The 17145-nt window shown below is 42.6% G+C and overlaps 1 long non-coding RNA gene across 1 annotated transcript, besides 3 other annotated features; it reads right to left on the bottom strand.

Moving 5' to 3' along the window:
* Positions 10175 to 10680: an enhancer, noted in NCBI's record as "H3K4me1 hESC enhancer chr6:99273031-99273536 (GRCh37/hg19 assembly coordinates)". NCBI's record gives its function as "activates a minimal SCP1, AML or CMV promoter by ChIP-STARR-seq in naive H9 embryonic stem cells {active_cell/tissue: H9 hESC(naive)}" and the evidence as "EXISTENCE:reporter gene assay evidence [ECO:0000049][PMID:30033119]".
* Positions 10681 to 11186: an enhancer, noted in NCBI's record as "H3K4me1 hESC enhancer chr6:99273537-99274042 (GRCh37/hg19 assembly coordinates)". NCBI's record gives its function as "activates a minimal SCP1, AML or CMV promoter by ChIP-STARR-seq in naive H9 embryonic stem cells {active_cell/tissue: H9 hESC(naive)}" and the evidence as "EXISTENCE:reporter gene assay evidence [ECO:0000049][PMID:30033119]".
* Positions 12205 to 13370: an enhancer, noted in NCBI's record as "amplified fragment containing the chr6:99275060-99276226 (GRCh37) conserved CAGE region with expression in brain". NCBI's record gives its function as "drives transgene expression in the floor plate {active_cell/tissue: floor plate}" and the evidence as "EXISTENCE:transgenic organism evidence [ECO:0001131][PMID:24670763]".
* On the bottom strand, positions 15161 to 16720 carry PNKY (long intergenic non-protein coding RNA PNKY). Its single transcript, NR_148381.1, has one exon. It is a non-coding gene; the product is annotated as a long intergenic non-protein coding RNA PNKY (long non-coding RNA).
* Positions 16721 to 17145: the final 425 nt, after the last annotated feature.

Consider the following 17145-nt stretch of genomic DNA (forward strand, 5'->3'; position numbering starts at 1 on the left):
TTATTCAGCAAAATTATTTCTTCAGCATAGCAAATAGCTTAAAAGGTGCAGTGTATATATTTATTTATTTTCTCATTATTTATTTATACATATTGGTAAATTCATACTCATGAAATGTTTTGATGGAATTATTATGATGTTTAAAAGGAAATGTTTACAAGAAGTTCTGTATGTGACCCAGTACCAATTGGTATGAAAGCAAAATATAAAATAAAGGTCAAAACATAAAGACAGCCAAATATTTGAATGATGATGATTTTACAGGTAACTACATGTATACAATACATTGATTTATTTTCCTTAGAGAGTCACTGGTTTCAACTACTGGAATTTTGACATCCCATTATGCAATAATGTCATTATGTGGATGCCTAGGATGGCAAGACTGATGGCCCAGTTGAACTTAGCAAGGTTACTAGATGAGCAGATCTTACTGGGTCAGCTATAAGGATAGATTCAAAGTTATTCTGATATGTATATACTGAGAACTGAATATATGCCTTGTGCGGGGTCTACTCTTAAAAATCGTAAAACACACATACACACACATGCAGTATGTACTTTGCACAGCAGTGAGAGAATGTAAAAATGACTAAGCTGAAACCATGCAAAGTGACCTTCATAAATAATGGGAAAAACTCGCTGGTGAATTGTACCAAATATTTAAAGAAAAATTAACATAAACCCTTCTCAAATGCATCCAAAAGACAGAAGAGTGGGAACTACATTTTAACTCATTTCATGAAGTCACTGTTATCCCAATACCAAAGCCAGACAAAGATATCACAAGAAAAGAAACTACAGAGCAATATCTGTTATGAATATAGATGTGAAAATCCTGAGCAAATACTAGCAATCCAAATTCAGCAATATATAAAAAGGATTATACCCCATGACCAACTTGGATTTACCCCAAGAATGCAAGGTTAGTTCAACTTGTGAACATCAACTGATGCACCACAATAATAGAATAAAGGGAAAAAAATTACATGATTACTTCAATAAATATTTTAAAAAATCATTTGACAGTATCCAACACCATTTCAGATTAAAAACATTAAACAGAAAAAAATAGATGGGAATTTTCTCAATCTGATAAAGAACATCTATTAAAAACACACATCTAACATCATATTTAGTGATGAAAGACTGAAATTTGTCCCCCAAGATCAAGAATGAGGCAAGGATACTCACTCTCACCACTTCTGTTCAACATTGTACTGGTGGTACTACTCACAGCAACTAGGAAAAAAAAAGAAAAAAACTATCAAAACTATCCATATTGGAATGGAGCAAATAAAATTATCTCTGTTCACAGATGACATGATTTTATATGTACAAACCATAATAAATCTACAAAAAAAAACTGTAGAGCTAATAAATGAGTTTAGCAAAGTTTCAGGATACAAGATCATATAAAATAAATTACAGTCATAGTTACTTAATGACAGGGATACTCCCTGAGAAATGCATCATTAGATGATTTCTCATTGTGTGAACATCATAGAGTGTACTTATACAAACCTAGATGATATAGCCTACTACACATCTAGTCTAGACGGTATAGCTTATTGCTCCTACTCTACAAACCTGTACAGCATATTACTCTACTGAATAGTGTAGGCAAATGTAACACAATTGTAAGTATTTGTGTATCATATCTAAACATAGAAAAGGTAATGGATTGCACTATGACATTACAATGGTTATGGCATCACCAGGCAATAGAAATTTTTCAGCTCTATTATAATCTTCTGGGACCATCATTGTATATGCAGTCCAACATTGACCTAAACATTATTATGTAGTACATAATTGCATATAAAAATCAGTTGCATTTCTATATACCATCTGAAAATGAAATTAAGAAAACAATTTAATTTACAATAGCACCAAAAACAGTAAAGTATTTAGAAATAATTTAACCAAAGTGCAAGATTTGTCCACTGAAAACTATAAAACATGTTGAAAGAAATTAAAGAAGACCTAAATAAATGAAAAGATATCCCATGTTCATGGATAGGGAGACAATATTGTGAATATGGCAATACTTCCCAAATTGATAGGTAGATTCAATTAAATTTCTATCAAAATTTTGACTGCATTATTTTTAGAAATGGTCAAACTGATTCTAAAATGCATTTGGAATTGCAAGGAACAAAGAATATCCAAAACAGTCTTGAAAAGAACAATGTTGGGGAACTCACACTTCCCAATTTTAAAACTTATAGTACAAAGCTACAGTAATCAAGATAGTATGGTGCTGGCATAAGGATCAACATATAGACTAATAGAATAGAATTGGGCATCCAGCTGAGACAATTCGTGGCTGAAAATTAAAGTCTGTCTGCAAATAGCACCTCCAGTAGCCAAGGTAATAAATCTCTCTTTGAAGAGGGATTTGAACCATACACCACTGTATCTACCACACTGATGCATGTGATTACATTAAGATTAAAGATTTCTGTTCAATAAAGGATATCTTGGATAATGTTAACAGAAGTAGAAAGGGTGATTGTATCACCAGTGTTTACAATTGATACTTACTAATTTCTAGAATGTAAAAAAATGTCTTTAGCAATCTCAACCAAAGAAAAATGGGCAATAAATATAAGCAGGTAATTTAAAGAAAATAAAATGCCACAGCCTAGAAAGCATACAAAAGGATTCTCAAACATAATGAGAGAAAAATAAAATAAAATAATGGAGATACACCTTCATACCTATTTGCCTAACAGGAATTAGAAAAATGGAAAACAACAATTTGGCAAGGGTGTGGGGATACAGCAAGGTAGCCATATATGCCAATTTGTCTGAGACAGTCCTGGTTTGCACTTGTTGTTCAGCATAATTATTAGCACCTGCTTTTATTGTCAAAAGCGTCCCCAGTTGAACAATAAATCACATTGTCTCCCTGGAATAGAGGGATCATCATACACTGCTGGTGTAAATGTAGACTGGTGTACCCATTTGGGTAAACAATTTGGCACACTATTCAGTCAAATTAAGTATTTGAACACCTTGCAAGGCCAAAAAATAAAAAATCCCCCCTGGGTATCTGATTATATATAGAGAGAAAACTATTACATATGTTCAGAAAGGGACATACAATAATCTGTTTATTGTAGAATTATTTGTAGTGGCAACAAGTTATTAATAGAAGCTGAGTGTTCATAACTGAGAGAAGAAAAGTAAACCGTGGCAGATGCTTGTAATGAGGAACCATATAGCAATTAGATTCAGTACGATAGATATAAATATTAAAAAGAATAGGTGGATATGAAAGACATAATGTTAAGTGAAAATGTTATTAAAAATGGGATGATAATATGGTAGAGTGACCTCCACTGATCCACATTATTGTATAATTAACCTCCCTTTCACTGTGGATGGGACCTCTGAATGTGATGGGATATCAGTTCCGTGATTATGTTATAAGGCAAAGGTAAATGGGTTTTGCTGATATAATTAAGGTTTCTAATCAGTTGACTTTGATTTAAATACAGGGAAATCCTGAATGGGCATGGACCATTTATTAGAAGTAGATACTTGCAATATTATAGCCCTAATCAGGAGTGTCCCTGAAAGACAGTGGGGAAGGGAAATCCTTCTAAAAGAAAGAAATTAGAAGAGTACCTTTGGTTGCCCCCTGTGTTAGTCTGTTTTGCATTGCTATAAAGGAATGCTTGAGGCTGGGTAATTTATAAAGAAAAGAGGTTTACTAGGATCATGATTCTGCAGCCTGTACAATCATGGCACTAACATCTGCTCAATTTCTGGTGAAGCCTCAGGAAGTTTACAATCATGGTGGAAGGCAAAGGGAGAGAAAAGGGAGAAGGCACAAGACAAGGAGAGGAAGCAAGAGAGAGTGGGGAGGTGCCAGAATTTTTAACAGTCAGATCTCATGATAACTAATAGAATGAGAATTCACTCATTACCATAGGAAGGGCACCAAGCTATTCATGAGGGATCCACCCCCATGATCCAAACACCTCCCATTAGGCACTACCTCTACCATTAGGGATCACATTTCAACATGAAGTTTGAAGGGGACAAACATCCAACGTGTATCACCTCCTTTCTCAGGACTGGATATAGCCAGAAATATAGATCGACACTGATTCATAGGCAGTGGCTAATAACCACTGGTTAGGTTTGATGGTTAAGAACAAGATCAGAGCACAAATGGCAAGAAATACTGAAGAAGTTATTTGTGAATAGATTCCACATGGAGTGCAAAGACATATGTTCACCCAAAGTCATCCACTGCAGATAACGCTCTCAATAATCAAGATCGAGTTTAAAAAATAAGATGTTTTGTAGATACCAGGCGGCCTCTTCCCTAGCCACTCGGGTGCTTGCTGAATGAATGTGAAATACAGTCATGATAGCAGGGGTGGAAGCTATGCATTGGTTCAACAGCATGGGTTTCTTTTCATCAAGGCTGATCTTTGGCTGCCATTGCAGAATGCATAAACTACAGAGACCAGTGCTAAGTCCCCAAATGACACCATTCCCTGGGAATAGCAGCCAGCAACTTTGTGGTATATTGATTACACTGGATACCTTGCCTCATATATACAACAACAATTAGTTCGAACTGTAATGTACAGGTAGTCTAGAAATGGGTTTTCCTTCTCTTTTCTCACTGCTTCCAACAGCACCACCATCATGGACTTATAGAAAGTCTAAGTCACTATATTCTGTGCAACATCGTTTAATTCCACACAGTATTAAGTCACTGTATTCTGTGCAACATTATTTAATTCCACGCAATATTACCTTTGACCAAAAACCTTAACAGAGCAACCAAAGAAGTACAATAATGAATTTATGTCCATGGAATTCACTGGTCGTATCACAGTATCCCATCACTTATGCACTGGACTGACAAAATGATGAAATGATCTATGAAGAATCATTATCATTCCAGTTAAGAATATCCTAAAAGTTTGGGGCTATGTCTTATAAAATGCCATCATATGCTTTGAATCAGTGGCCAACATATGGTGCTGTTTCTCCCATGGCCAGAATGCAGGAGTCTAGTAGTCAGTGTCACTGTTCCATCTGGTAACCCGGTAGCAGAAGTTTTGCTTTCCATTCCCCACAAGTTGGTGCTCTTCTGGTTTAGAGGTTCTAATTCCCACAGAAAGAAAACTTCTACAAGCAGACATAACAATTGTTCCACTGAACTGAAAGTTGAGACTGTCACCTGTCTATTTTAGGATCTTCATGCCACTGAGCCAATAGGCAAAGAAGGGGATTACTCTAATGACTGTGGTGGTTGATCCTGATTAGCAAGGAGAATTTGGCTACAGCTATATAATACAGGTGGAGGAAAAACCAGAGGACTCACTGGGATGCCTCTCAGAATTTTCATTTATAAGACTAAAAGTTAAAAGAATACTAAAGAAATTAAAAAAAAACAGAGAATAACTGAGGATTAAAACTTCTCATAATGGAAGTATGGGGCTTTTGCCAGGCAAAGAACTGGCTGAAATGATGGCTGAAAGCCAAAGAAATATAGACCAGTTAGTAGACAAAGAAGGTTATGAAAATTAACTATAGTCTTGTGACCAATTCTAGAAACATGGGCTGTAGCAGCTACACATATTTTCTTCCTTGCTTATCACATATATTTCTATTTCTTTTTTTCTCTCTGTTGTGTTGTATAAGGAGTGTTGTTGGTGGTAAAATTGACAATTCATTATTTAGGTGACTAATTGTCTATATATGAAAACAACACCTATGGAAAACTTGAGTCTCCTCTTGGGGAGGGAGGCTAGAGAGTGAGACCATCTTCTGAAAGATAGTTGCATTTTACTAAACAGAAGCACAAAGTTGTTATTGGACAAAAGGTTTTTTCTGATATGTGTACAAGCATATTATTAAGCTATTGTCCTTCAGCTCTAAATTTCCCCCTTCTAGATCTTGCCTTGTGAAACTAGGCCTGGAATTCTTCAGATTACTTTGTTAGCTGAACCCGTTAAATCTGTCAAAAAGATAGTGTAGAGAGAAACTGGAAGACAGGGAGAGGGCAGAGAGGGACTTGTTCCTTTTTATTTGCTTGCTCTTCCTGTCAGTGTCACCAGAGCAATGATACTTTATCCTGGCAGCAGCAATGTCTTTCCATCTCCAACTCTATTTGGCACTCCCAGAAGCAGCCTCATCATACCCTGCCCCGCTCAGAAACACCAGCAACAGCTGGCAATGCCTCCTGAGGTTTCAACCTCAACTATTCAAGACCATTTTTCTCACCTGGCGTTACTAGCGCTAGCTGAGTAGCACTCCCTCTTCAGAGGTGAGTGCTAGTTCCTTGGGGCTCCTCCTCCAAACTTTAAAGTATTAATAACCCTAATCCAAGCCGACGTGGTGGCTCTTGCCTGTAATCCCAGCACTTTGGGAGCAGAGGCAGGCAGATCACTTGAGCTCAGGAGTTCAAGACTAGCCTAGGCAACATGGTGAAACTCTCTTTACAAAAAGATCCAAAAAAAAAATAAAATTAGGCAGGCATGGTGGCACATGCCTGTGGTCCCAGCTACTCAGAAGGCTGACATGGGAGGATCGCTTGAGCTCAGGAGGAGGTTGCAGTGAGCCAAGACCATGCCACTGCACTCCAGCCTGGGCAACAGAGCCAGAATCTGTCTTAAAAAATAATAATAATAATAAATAAAAAATTAAAAGTCCAAGAATACACTTTAAGCACAGATGAATCCAGTGGTTCAATTATATCTTATCTTCCTCTGTCTTTTGCTTTTCTCTGCAATGGTTTTCCTCAAGCACATTGTCTTCACAACAGGAGCTCCTAGAAGATGAAGGCTTATACTTTATATACCTTAGTATAATAAGATAACCAGAGCTTTAACTAGTTTTCCCTTCCCTCACTATTCTGGCCAAAGTTATGAGGCTAATGTTGAGTTGCCTTGATTGGTCTGCTTAGGTCATGTGCCCTTCCTAAACCAATCACTATAATGTGCAATACTTTCATTGGCCAGTCATGGATCATTCTCCCCAGAATGGGATCAGTTCAACCTATTACTAGGAGAAGTAAGTTCTTCAATACAACACCAGTCCCATTAAAACTTTTCCAACACTGCACAATTACTAATAAAAATTCAATGACATTATTTTTACAGTAGAAATTTCATATCTTAGTAGCTCACAGAGGTAGAGTTGGTCTTTAAGAGAGGACAAAGAAGGTGACTCATGGCCATGTGGCTATATTTTAGGAATGCCGCAAATTCCTCCAGCCTAAAATATCTTTTCCATCTGCCAACTACAGTCTTAAATCCAGTTACACTACTGAGATACATTGTTTTGGGCCTATAGCACGGACCCTCCAAGCTTTTTTTGGAAAAGGCAAATGTCTCTTAGCATTTATCATCTCTTAACACCTCATATTGATTACCTTATTACCTTATCTGGTTGATGATAACAGGTAAGGCAATAGTAAGGAGTCCCTCAGAGGAAGGAATCTGTATGGGTTGAAATGTCCCAAAGGGCAGGTCTGGAACCTGTGTGGTCAGGTTGATAGGAAGAGTGAGGAAAGGGCTGGAGGGTGGTGGTGCACTCCAGGCACAACGTGTCTAATTTGCAATTTCTCTTTATAACACTACCCATACCACCATTTAATTATATCTTAGAACAGGCAACCTATGAGAGGATGTTTGGAAATCCAGTCCCTTTTCTCAACAAAAGAAGTTCCTTGTTGGAGACATGGCTGAAGAATGGCATCGGCCTTGAGTTTGCAAGGAAACTGTAGGTCATTTAAACCTAAGACTGTCACCAGGAAGAACCTTAGACTCTAAGAATTCTCTTGAAGTATTTCCAGCTTTTAATGGCCTAACGATTAAGCAAAGAAGTCTGCAAGACCCTTGTTGATCTTTTCTAATGACATTTAAGTGCCAATGTCTAAGTGATTTATTTTTCAGCTAATGCAATAACAGACAGAACAATACCTGAAAACTAGTGTCCCATGTGATATGGGGCAAGATATTGGCCTTCCTTAAACTGTCACAATTTTGAACTCCTTATAACTAAGTTTCCTATCTCTCCAGGTCCCTTTCCAATTATATATATATATATATATATATATATAAAATATTCCTACTATATATATATAAAGTTTAGTAAGAATATGGAAAGAAAGAATGAAGGAACAAAAGAAGGAAGAGAGATAGATACCCATTTAAACAAATAAAAGTGGTTATTTATGGGGAGGGGAATGGGAAGATATTAAAAGTGGTAAAAAAAATTTAAAGGAAACTTTATTATATACATTTTATTATTGCTTGACTTTGGCTTACAGTGAGCATTATTCAGGAATCCTTTTAGTAGTTTTAGTAAAAATTATACTTAATTGATTCTACTAACTAAAAGACATTTGTTCTCACATTTAGGATTCAACTTGAGGAAGGGAGACAGGGCCATCTCTGTGGTCTAGATAAGTGCTGACCACATAATTTAAAAAGTGGATCCTATAAAAGTCCCCACTGACTGAATTAAGCTTAAGAATAATACTCAAATTATACAAAACCAAGCTGAATAAAAATGCAAGTACTCCAATTCTTTGTTACATCTACTTCCCCCCACCCCACCCCCAGAAAGAATAAACTACTGCTGTTTTTGAAAGTGTCATAAAGATACAGGTCGGTTATGCTGCTCCCCTGGACGGGTTTCCATTGGTAATAAATGGTTTTCTGAGAGATTTGAGTTAAAGCTCTTATGTAAATAGAGAGAGGCTTACATAATGCTCTTTAAACTAGAACTTTGAAGACAATCTGCAGTAGGCATATGAAATCTGTTTGTGCTGCAAATGGCATCTGAAAACTGACAGGAAACCATCCAAGACGCGGTTTAAGAAAACAGGAAGAATAAACACCCACGGTGCAAACTTCTGATCAATCATTTTACCAAACTTCAACCACGACTAGAGAATATGTAAGAAGTGTGTCCTGGGGCTTATAATAATGCCACTAGCCACAGTATGTTTTCAGGAGCGCCCAAGAACATTATTCATTGTAAATTTCTATGTAAATTATCCAGGGGCAGGGGCATTGCTTTGGTCCGCCCAAGAGTCAGATGGCGCGGGTTCCCTCCCTGTGAGTTTCGACAGTGCATCATCTTACGGAAGAGGCTAAACTAGTATTGATTTTCCACTTTCTAAAAGGAGTAACCATTTGGAGCAAAGGCAAGCTCTCAGGGACGCGGGGGTTGATAGGGGGCAGGTCTGCGAAAAAGAGAAACACTTCAAACAGCGCTGCGGAGAGTGGGGGATGGAGCTGTGGGGAGCGAGCGGAGGCTTCTCTCTGCCCAAGTAGTGGGGCTGCAAAGTTCCTGCCACAACGGCTGAGACGTTCTGATTCTGTGGACCTGCCAGGAGAGGCGTTTCCCTTGCCAAAATAGAGCCTTCTTAGGAGAGGTTTATGTATTGTTCGGGAAGGCAGGAGTATCTTCTAGTCGTTTTCACTCTCCTCCACCTTTATTACCCTGAATCCTTAGGCCCTCCCCTCGGAACCCCTTCAAAGTGGAGAGGGAGCGTGGGAGGGAGAGAGCGCGCGCCAAGTTTCAAATGTCGCCAGTCTTTCCAGAAGCCCCTGGCTCTCGCAGGACTGGGTGCAGGCGCCTCTCCGGGCCTCGGAGCCCCGCCCCGCCTCCCCATCCCCACAATCCCAAGGCTCCAGGCTCTGCAGGGAACCGCGGCGGGAATTTTCCAGCCTCAAATACGGGGCGGACTAATTTTCAGGTCCACTCCAACCCAGAGATCGGATTCCACTTGATCTTGGAGTTCGCGAAGTAACTGCCAAGTCAGAGCGTGCGTTCCGCAGTGCGCGGTGGCTGCGCGGCGCTGGCTCTTGCTGTGGGGCAGACAGCAGAGGACCAGGGGCGAGTCGGCAGCGGGAGGAGCCGCCTGGCCAGGAGCCTCGGACAGTGTCTCCCCGTCCCGAACCCCTTCCCGCCACCTCCTCCACCCCCCGCCCCGCATTCCCCCCGGGGCGACCCTCCCTCCACCTGCGGACTGCCCCAAGGAATGGAAAACCTGCACTCAGAAGCCACCCCCCACCCCGCCTCTGCCGTATCTGCTAACTTTGCTAACACTCCCCTTCCCCTGCCTTGTAAGTCACTATTTACGACCGCGTCGACTCGCGCTCACGCACGCCTGCCCTTTTCTCCAGAAGCCTGAAAGTGGCTGAATTCAAACACTGACACGTGAAAACTCTATTCTGAGTGACTTAGAATCTCCCGCTTTGAGGTTTTAATCTTGATCCGCCGGTCCTGCCCAAAGTTCAGAGCAGCTGTCCGAAAGGTCCCCGCATTTGCTGTCCCTAGGAAAGGTGAGGCTAGGAGGAAGGGGGAGGCAACGCAGGGAATGTGAGAGGACTGGGGCCACACTGTGTATCTAGGAGGAAACTCTGAATCCTAATCTCAAGAATGTAAGTCTTTGCGCAGTTTCCAAATCGAGTCCATTTAGCAGCTTTCTTCGGAGCCCGGGTACCCCAAGTGGCAACTTAGGAACTGGGAGAAGGAACGTGCCACCACCGACCACCTATCCTGGTGGGAGGAGGTACTGCTCCCCCCTACTCCTCCCTTTTCCCTGCTCCCTCTCCATCAGCAACAGGTTGTCAAGTTGAGGAGACATCCCCTCCAAACTCTCTCACTCCCCACTTGTGGCCGAGGCCTGCCCTGTGTTCATCCCAGACAGTCAGGCAGACGCTGAGCTGTCCGCGTCGGCGTGGGCGCCTGTGGCCAGCGTATTGTGAGATTTCTAAATGTCAGGGCACTGTTAAGGAAATGTCTGACAAACCTGTAGTAAACCTCTTCACGAAGGAAAGGAGGGCTGTTGTCTTGGCTTTTGGTTGTGTGTCCCTCATGGCCCCCAAGAAAACAATTTTTCTGTTCCAAACACTCTTTGGATCAAGTTTCGTCCTTGCATTTCTAGTTTAGGCGTTTCTACTAGAAACGAATGTGTGGTGCGTTTTGGTTGGGCATTACTTGCAGGTGTCTTGCCGCTTAAGTTTCCTGGACTGAGACGTTGACTGGTGACCTAGGCTTGTTTGGGGCAGCTGTAAAAGGTCCCTGTAACGCTCCAGGTCTACCTGGGGACCGCCCACCAACTCCCTGGTCTCCAATTATCATTGTTAGTGCAAGGTGGAGAACGAGCTTAATTCTTTAATATGACCTCCTATTTTGATTCAGTCGAGGAAAGAAAGGAAAACAGTGGAGATGGTGGCTAGACACCCCCAAACTCTGACTTCGGAGAAGGAAAATCCTCAACTACTGCCTCTCAGCACTTTGCATTGTATTCCTGAAACCTGGAAATGAAAATAGAAATTGTTTGATGTATGAGGAGACGTTATCTAATTAGGGCGTAAGAAATTTAATCTTTCCAGCAAGCAGGTCATATAATTAATGTTAATTTAACGCTCAAATTCTCAGTCATTAAATTTTATTCTCTTAAATGTAGTTTGGCATGGGCCCCTGATCCATGGCAATGGATTTTACTGGATGTGAGAGCGCTCTTGGTCTTAGGAGTGACTCACCACAAACCCACCCTTCCCAATAACAAGATCACATCATGTATGCATTATTAAGCCACATAATTGAACGGTCCATAGTTTGCATATCAGACTATTAAAATAATGTGTTTTGCTTTTCTCTGAACACGTATTGTTCAAGCCTCTGCGAGTATGTAGTGATTCTGATAATTACCTCCAAACTACTGCAAATATTCACTTCATTAACATGATTTCTTTCAAGCATTTTTTTAAAATGTGGATATCATTGTGAATTAAGAGACTTTTTACAAAGTTATGTGAACTTTTTTAAAAAAGGAATTTGTCATTGGAAAGGAAAGCATATATTTTAAATGGAGGATGTAGAAAAATGCTTTGACTATGCCTTTCAAATGGCTTCCTAAGATCAAATAAAAGTTTTTCTGTCCAGTTTTTCATGCTACTTCTAGGCAAAAGGCAGACAGAAAGAAACAAAGAGAGATGGGGCTGACTTTCAAAGTCACAGGAGAGTAAGAGAGAATCAATTTTTCAAGTTCCAACTATCCACGTCCTTCTGGTATAGATAACTTGTCCCTACAAATAAAATCTTAACTCATTATCTGAGATAGAGGAGACTATACAACTGCCCTTTTAAAAGAACAAACTCAAAATTTTCTGAAGCTAACAGCTCATCATTAACTAAATATTTACTGTTTTCCCCTCACTCTTCTGAGCTATACTATTGGAGAAATTATAAGCAGTAAAAAGTCTTCATTGTAACCTTCCCTTCACACACTGTTTTCAAAGTTGAATAGCAAGACATTAAAAAAAAACCTATTGCAAAATAAAAGTCTCTTTTAAATGTGAGAAATTTGCAACTACACTTCTTTCTAGTAAGTTTTTCCTTTGAGTGATTTTTAAACTCTCCTAACAGGCCGTTCTGCCGCTGGTATTGCCGCTCCTCTGTACACTGTCCGCGCCGCGTGCGGGTCCCTCTGCTAGGACCGCGCCTTCAACGCGGAATCGCTGACATGAGCCCAGACGGAGAAGGGGTTTCAACTACTGAGAAGGCATAAGTTGGAGAAAGTTGTGGGATTTTTCCTAAACAAAATAGGGACAGGAAAACAGTTGGGCTGGGGGACGAAATGGGGAGGGTAGCTGGGGCTTTCTGCCTGCTCCAGCAGTAAGCTGCTTGGCCATTCCCCGCGGGGCCGGCCCCCCTTCCCTTGCTCAGTGCCCAGGTCCTCCGGGCCCTTCTCCTCGAGCCCGCAGTCGGCTCTCAGGGAAAGGGTGCCAGGCCCCAGGCGGCACTTTTATTTTGGTTAAGAGGAGGGAGGGCTGCTCCCAGGCCCGAGGGAGGCGAACTGAGCCTTTCTGTTTGGATTTCCCTCCTCGCTATAGCAACCAGCAGCATCCGGACAAAAATGCGCCCTCCCTGGACAATGGCCCGGCCTCCTGCTTCTCGCCCTCGTCTTCCTCCCCCGGATCCCAGCCAGGACCTGCCTAGGCGCTCTTCGACCACGGAACATCCCTCCCCGCCACCCCCACCTCCATCCTTTCCATAGCAGTCTCTCCCCGGGTCAGTCCAGGGCGCTGGGAAGCCTTAGCTCTCGCTTTCTACCCCCACTGATCCCCCCACGCGGGCCGAGGCTAGGACACAGGACCTCACTACCGAGTTCGGGGGCTCCCGCAGGGGAGTTCCCTGCAGGGATTGTGTGGGTGTTTGGATGGCCCTGAGGAGTAACTCCAGCTTTTTCCAGGGTTAAAAATATATATATTAGAAAAATGCATTGAGCAGACTACACTTCTCCCCTGCCCAACACACACACACCACACACACACACATATTAATATAAGCACCCCAGACCGAAGTACTAGGCATGATCTCTGACTTTCTTTCACTCTCCCAAGGTTAATTAAGTTCCCTTCCACGAACTGAGCTCCGTGCCTATTCATTATTCTCTCCCTCTGACCTAGGGCGTTAATATGATCAGGCCTATGACTCGGCCGTGTTCTGTTTTCCTATTTTGCATTTAATGCTGGGACCCGGCTGCCCTAGATTACCATCGAAAACTCTCAGAAAAGACAAGAGGAGCCAGGAGGTCTCCCTGCTCCAATCTGCCTAAGGCTTCCTCTTCCTGCCTCCTCTTCCGGCCAACGTCTGCCCCTATGTTCCCAGGACCCAAATTCTGGAAACCTGTCTTTAAAAATACAATCATCTCTAACTTTATGATGTCCAAAAGCTGTCTAGAATGACAGATTCGAAACTCTGAGACCTAGCAGAAGATTTTGGCCCACAGTTATTACGACTGTGGTTAACTGCTCTCCAGAAAAGCATCTCTCCCGCCCGTGCACCACCTGCTCCCCTCCCCGCCCACCCCCCCATCCCCCCCCAACCGCCGTCCTCCCGGACACTAACGACACAATTGTTAAGTGCACTTGTACACTTCAGAAGGATTTGCATTCGTGCTGTGTGCAGGCAGAATAAGAGAACTGAAGTCCAACTTCAACCAAATACGCCTGTTTATCCCAGGGCTGGAGCAACAGCCCTAGCCCTTGAAAATGGCTTCAGTGAAATAGCTGAGTACACCCTCCTCCCACTTCCCCAGTCCGCCTCTGTGCGCAGGTGTATGTTAGTGCACTCGTCCCTAGCTTGCCTTCCTCTTCGAAAATTGCTCCAGAGGATGAGAGAAGCCAGGAGCTCTAGCAAGAGCTTCATCCCAGTACATTTCCAAATGCTTTAGAGCTAAGGAGGTTTCTGTTGAAATCACTTTAATTTATCAAAGAGTTGTCATCCCCTACTGGTGGCCAGCCATCCACCTGCTTTAAGGCTAGGGGGAGAAAATGCGAGCGTGCCTGTGTGTGCGTGTGCGCGCACACACACGCGCGCGCACACACACACACAGACACCTTTAGGCTCCATTGTTAAGAGGTCATTTAACTGTTAGTCCTTTGAAAGTGAAATTGCGGGAAGCAAACTGGAAGCCACCAATTGTCTCCTGTTCTGTTTCTGAGATTTTTGTTCTGTTTCTGAGATTTCGTATAAACAAGCTATATTAACTCCTCCAAACAGAATTTATCTTATACACCGACGGAATGCTTCCTTTATGTTTTCTCCCTCCTAAGGCCTCATATTCACCGCTCAGGATTTAGCAGGCTTCCTTTGATAAATTACTCAAAGTAATCCTTGAAACAGCTAGACTATCTGGGTGACATGGTGTTAGATGTCTTCAAGCCATCCCTGTATATAAAATATTCACTTGCAGACTACAAAGGGGGGACTGTTTTAATGATAAAATTTATAACTTGAAGAAAAAGGGAAAGATATTAGTATCTATAAATACAGATAATTTTATTTCAAATACTGAATTAAGGACATTATATTTCACTGGTTTACACAGTAGTGAAGGTAAAATAGAATTGTTTGTATGTGAGGTATGGACAGAGTTGCCAAGCATATGACGTAGGAGAGTTTCAACTTTCAGAAAACTTTTCATTCTTCAAGACCTTTTATTACACAAGGACAGATGCACATTTAGGAATTTGCAAAATATAGGTATAGACAGTAACATACAAATTTATTGGAAGCTTTATTTCTTCAGGAAAAAATATGCTGCTGCATAATTAAAGATAGTAAGTTCTATCCTTTTTTTTTTTTTTTTTTTTTTGGTAAATGTTTATTATGTCTCTCCCAAGAACCAGCAACTTGGAAATGCATTTTCCATGTTCCTTATAAATGCATCCCCCAAGGCTAAAGTTCTTGAAGCTTTATAGCAGTTTTCATTAAAGCAGCCAGCTGCCTTTTTGTGTGGATTGGCTGTTCAAAGCTCTAGCTCCGAAGCCAGAGCCTCAGTTTTGACATTCTGCAGGCCCTTAGAAAAGAAGTTCCACTCAGAGGTTGGAGGGGGGCCTCACCAAATCAAACAGCTGCTGGGGTCTAGCAGAAGAGCAGGAAGCACAGGAATGAATGACTGAGACAAGGCTTTTTAAAAAGAGGAGGAGGAGTAGGGACGTTCAAACATGATCCTCTAAGGTGGATATAAGAAAAAGGAAACAGCAGTTTCTTTTTCTAGTTTTACTTAGGTTTAAACCAGCTGCTACCTCCACTCCCCCAATGGCCATCTCCTCAGAAAATTCTTTGTTTTCTTTTGTTTCCTGATTTCTATTATCCTGGGACTACATAAATAAGAAAAAATTAAGATCAAATGAATACCATTTCACCTCTGTTTTAGTAATTGTGTGCCTCCAGCTCAATGTATGGGAGTGGTCACGGTGGGTTTTCTGCCAACTCCTGGTATATAGAAATAAATAAATGCTATTTTATATATGGTGTGAGTGTGTTTACTAGATGAAATAGTTAATAAATTAGAGTTCAAGTTACAGTGCATGGACTGACCCCATAACTGTTACTCAGGTGGAAATTTGGGAGGTTTGTGTCAAGGTACTGGGTGCTACTAAGACCCAGGTCCGGCTCACTATCTCGAGGAGTGTGAAAGTGTGAGAGATAACATGGGTGTCTTTTTGGTGTAGTTCTGTTATTCGAGGATGTTTCCCCTCCACTCAGCGCACCCCGGCAAGAGGGAGTCGGCTCCGTTTCTTCAGACAAGTCCAGCTCAGGGTATTGACTGAGTAGAGGTTCCTCCGGACCTGGGAGAAGCTGGGGTGGCGCCAGCATCTCCTTACAGGTGCCTCCATCCTGTCCTTGCGGAAGGGGCTTAGGACACCCCGCAGTCCGCGCCCCGAGGTGGCGAGGCCCGCACGAATCGCCTGCTCAGCCATTGTCCTAGCGAGTGATCTCGAGGAGCTGTGCTGGATGGAGTGAGGGAGATATCAAGACACCTTGTCAGTTCAAAGCATTTTAGCGTTGTTTGAAATCCTCTCCACGTCAACGTAAGCAGCCTGTGTATTTGAACAGCTGCTTTGAACAGTGAAAGGGAATAAACTGATTCAAAACCTGGAGGTGTCTGCCCGAGACACCTTCAACGTGCTTTTATGCGGGCGGAGAATGGCAGGCAGACGCGCGGACTCTGCCCTGACAGGGTCAGCCCAAAGAATGGGCCCCAGAGCCCGGGGCGGGGGAGGAACCGGTGGAGAGGCCCCAGTCTGGACCTAAAACCAGCGAGAGCTCAGGTTTCGGGAGCCCCGAAGAGGTGCCGCGCTGGGAGGCAGACAAGGAAGCCCAGGGTGCTCGGAACCCGGCGTTCGCGCCAACCGGGCCCCTGGCGCCTGGAGGGGAGGCGGCGGTAGCTCGTGGGGAGGTGTTGCTCAGAGCCGCGGTGCGAGCCCAGCCTGGCCCGCCCGGTGATTGGCCGCGCTTGGGGGTGGGGGTGGGGTGCAGAGACTGAGGCCCCGGGTAGGCTATTTCTTTGTGTACTCCCGGGGATTTATTGGGTATATTAAACCCTGTTGGGAACGTTTCGGCTCCTTGGCCGCCAGCGAAATGAGACGGGGATGGAAGTTGGAGTTGAGACCTGGGAAGTCAACGTGGGAAGGATCTCAGCATTAATCGCCGGTGATGTCCTATCGCAGACAGGAAGTTTTGATGTACACGTGCAGCCTATTCTTGTCCCCTCACACTAGCGCCCTATGCCGGGAGGAGGGCGGGGGTGTGGGGTGGGGTGTGGAGAGAAAGATAAGAGGAGGAGGAACTTTT

This window comes from Homo sapiens, chromosome 6 (assembly GCF_000001405.40).
Source record: "Homo sapiens chromosome 6, GRCh38.p14 Primary Assembly".
NCBI classification, from domain to species: Eukaryota; Metazoa; Chordata; class Mammalia; order Primates; family Hominidae; genus Homo; species Homo sapiens.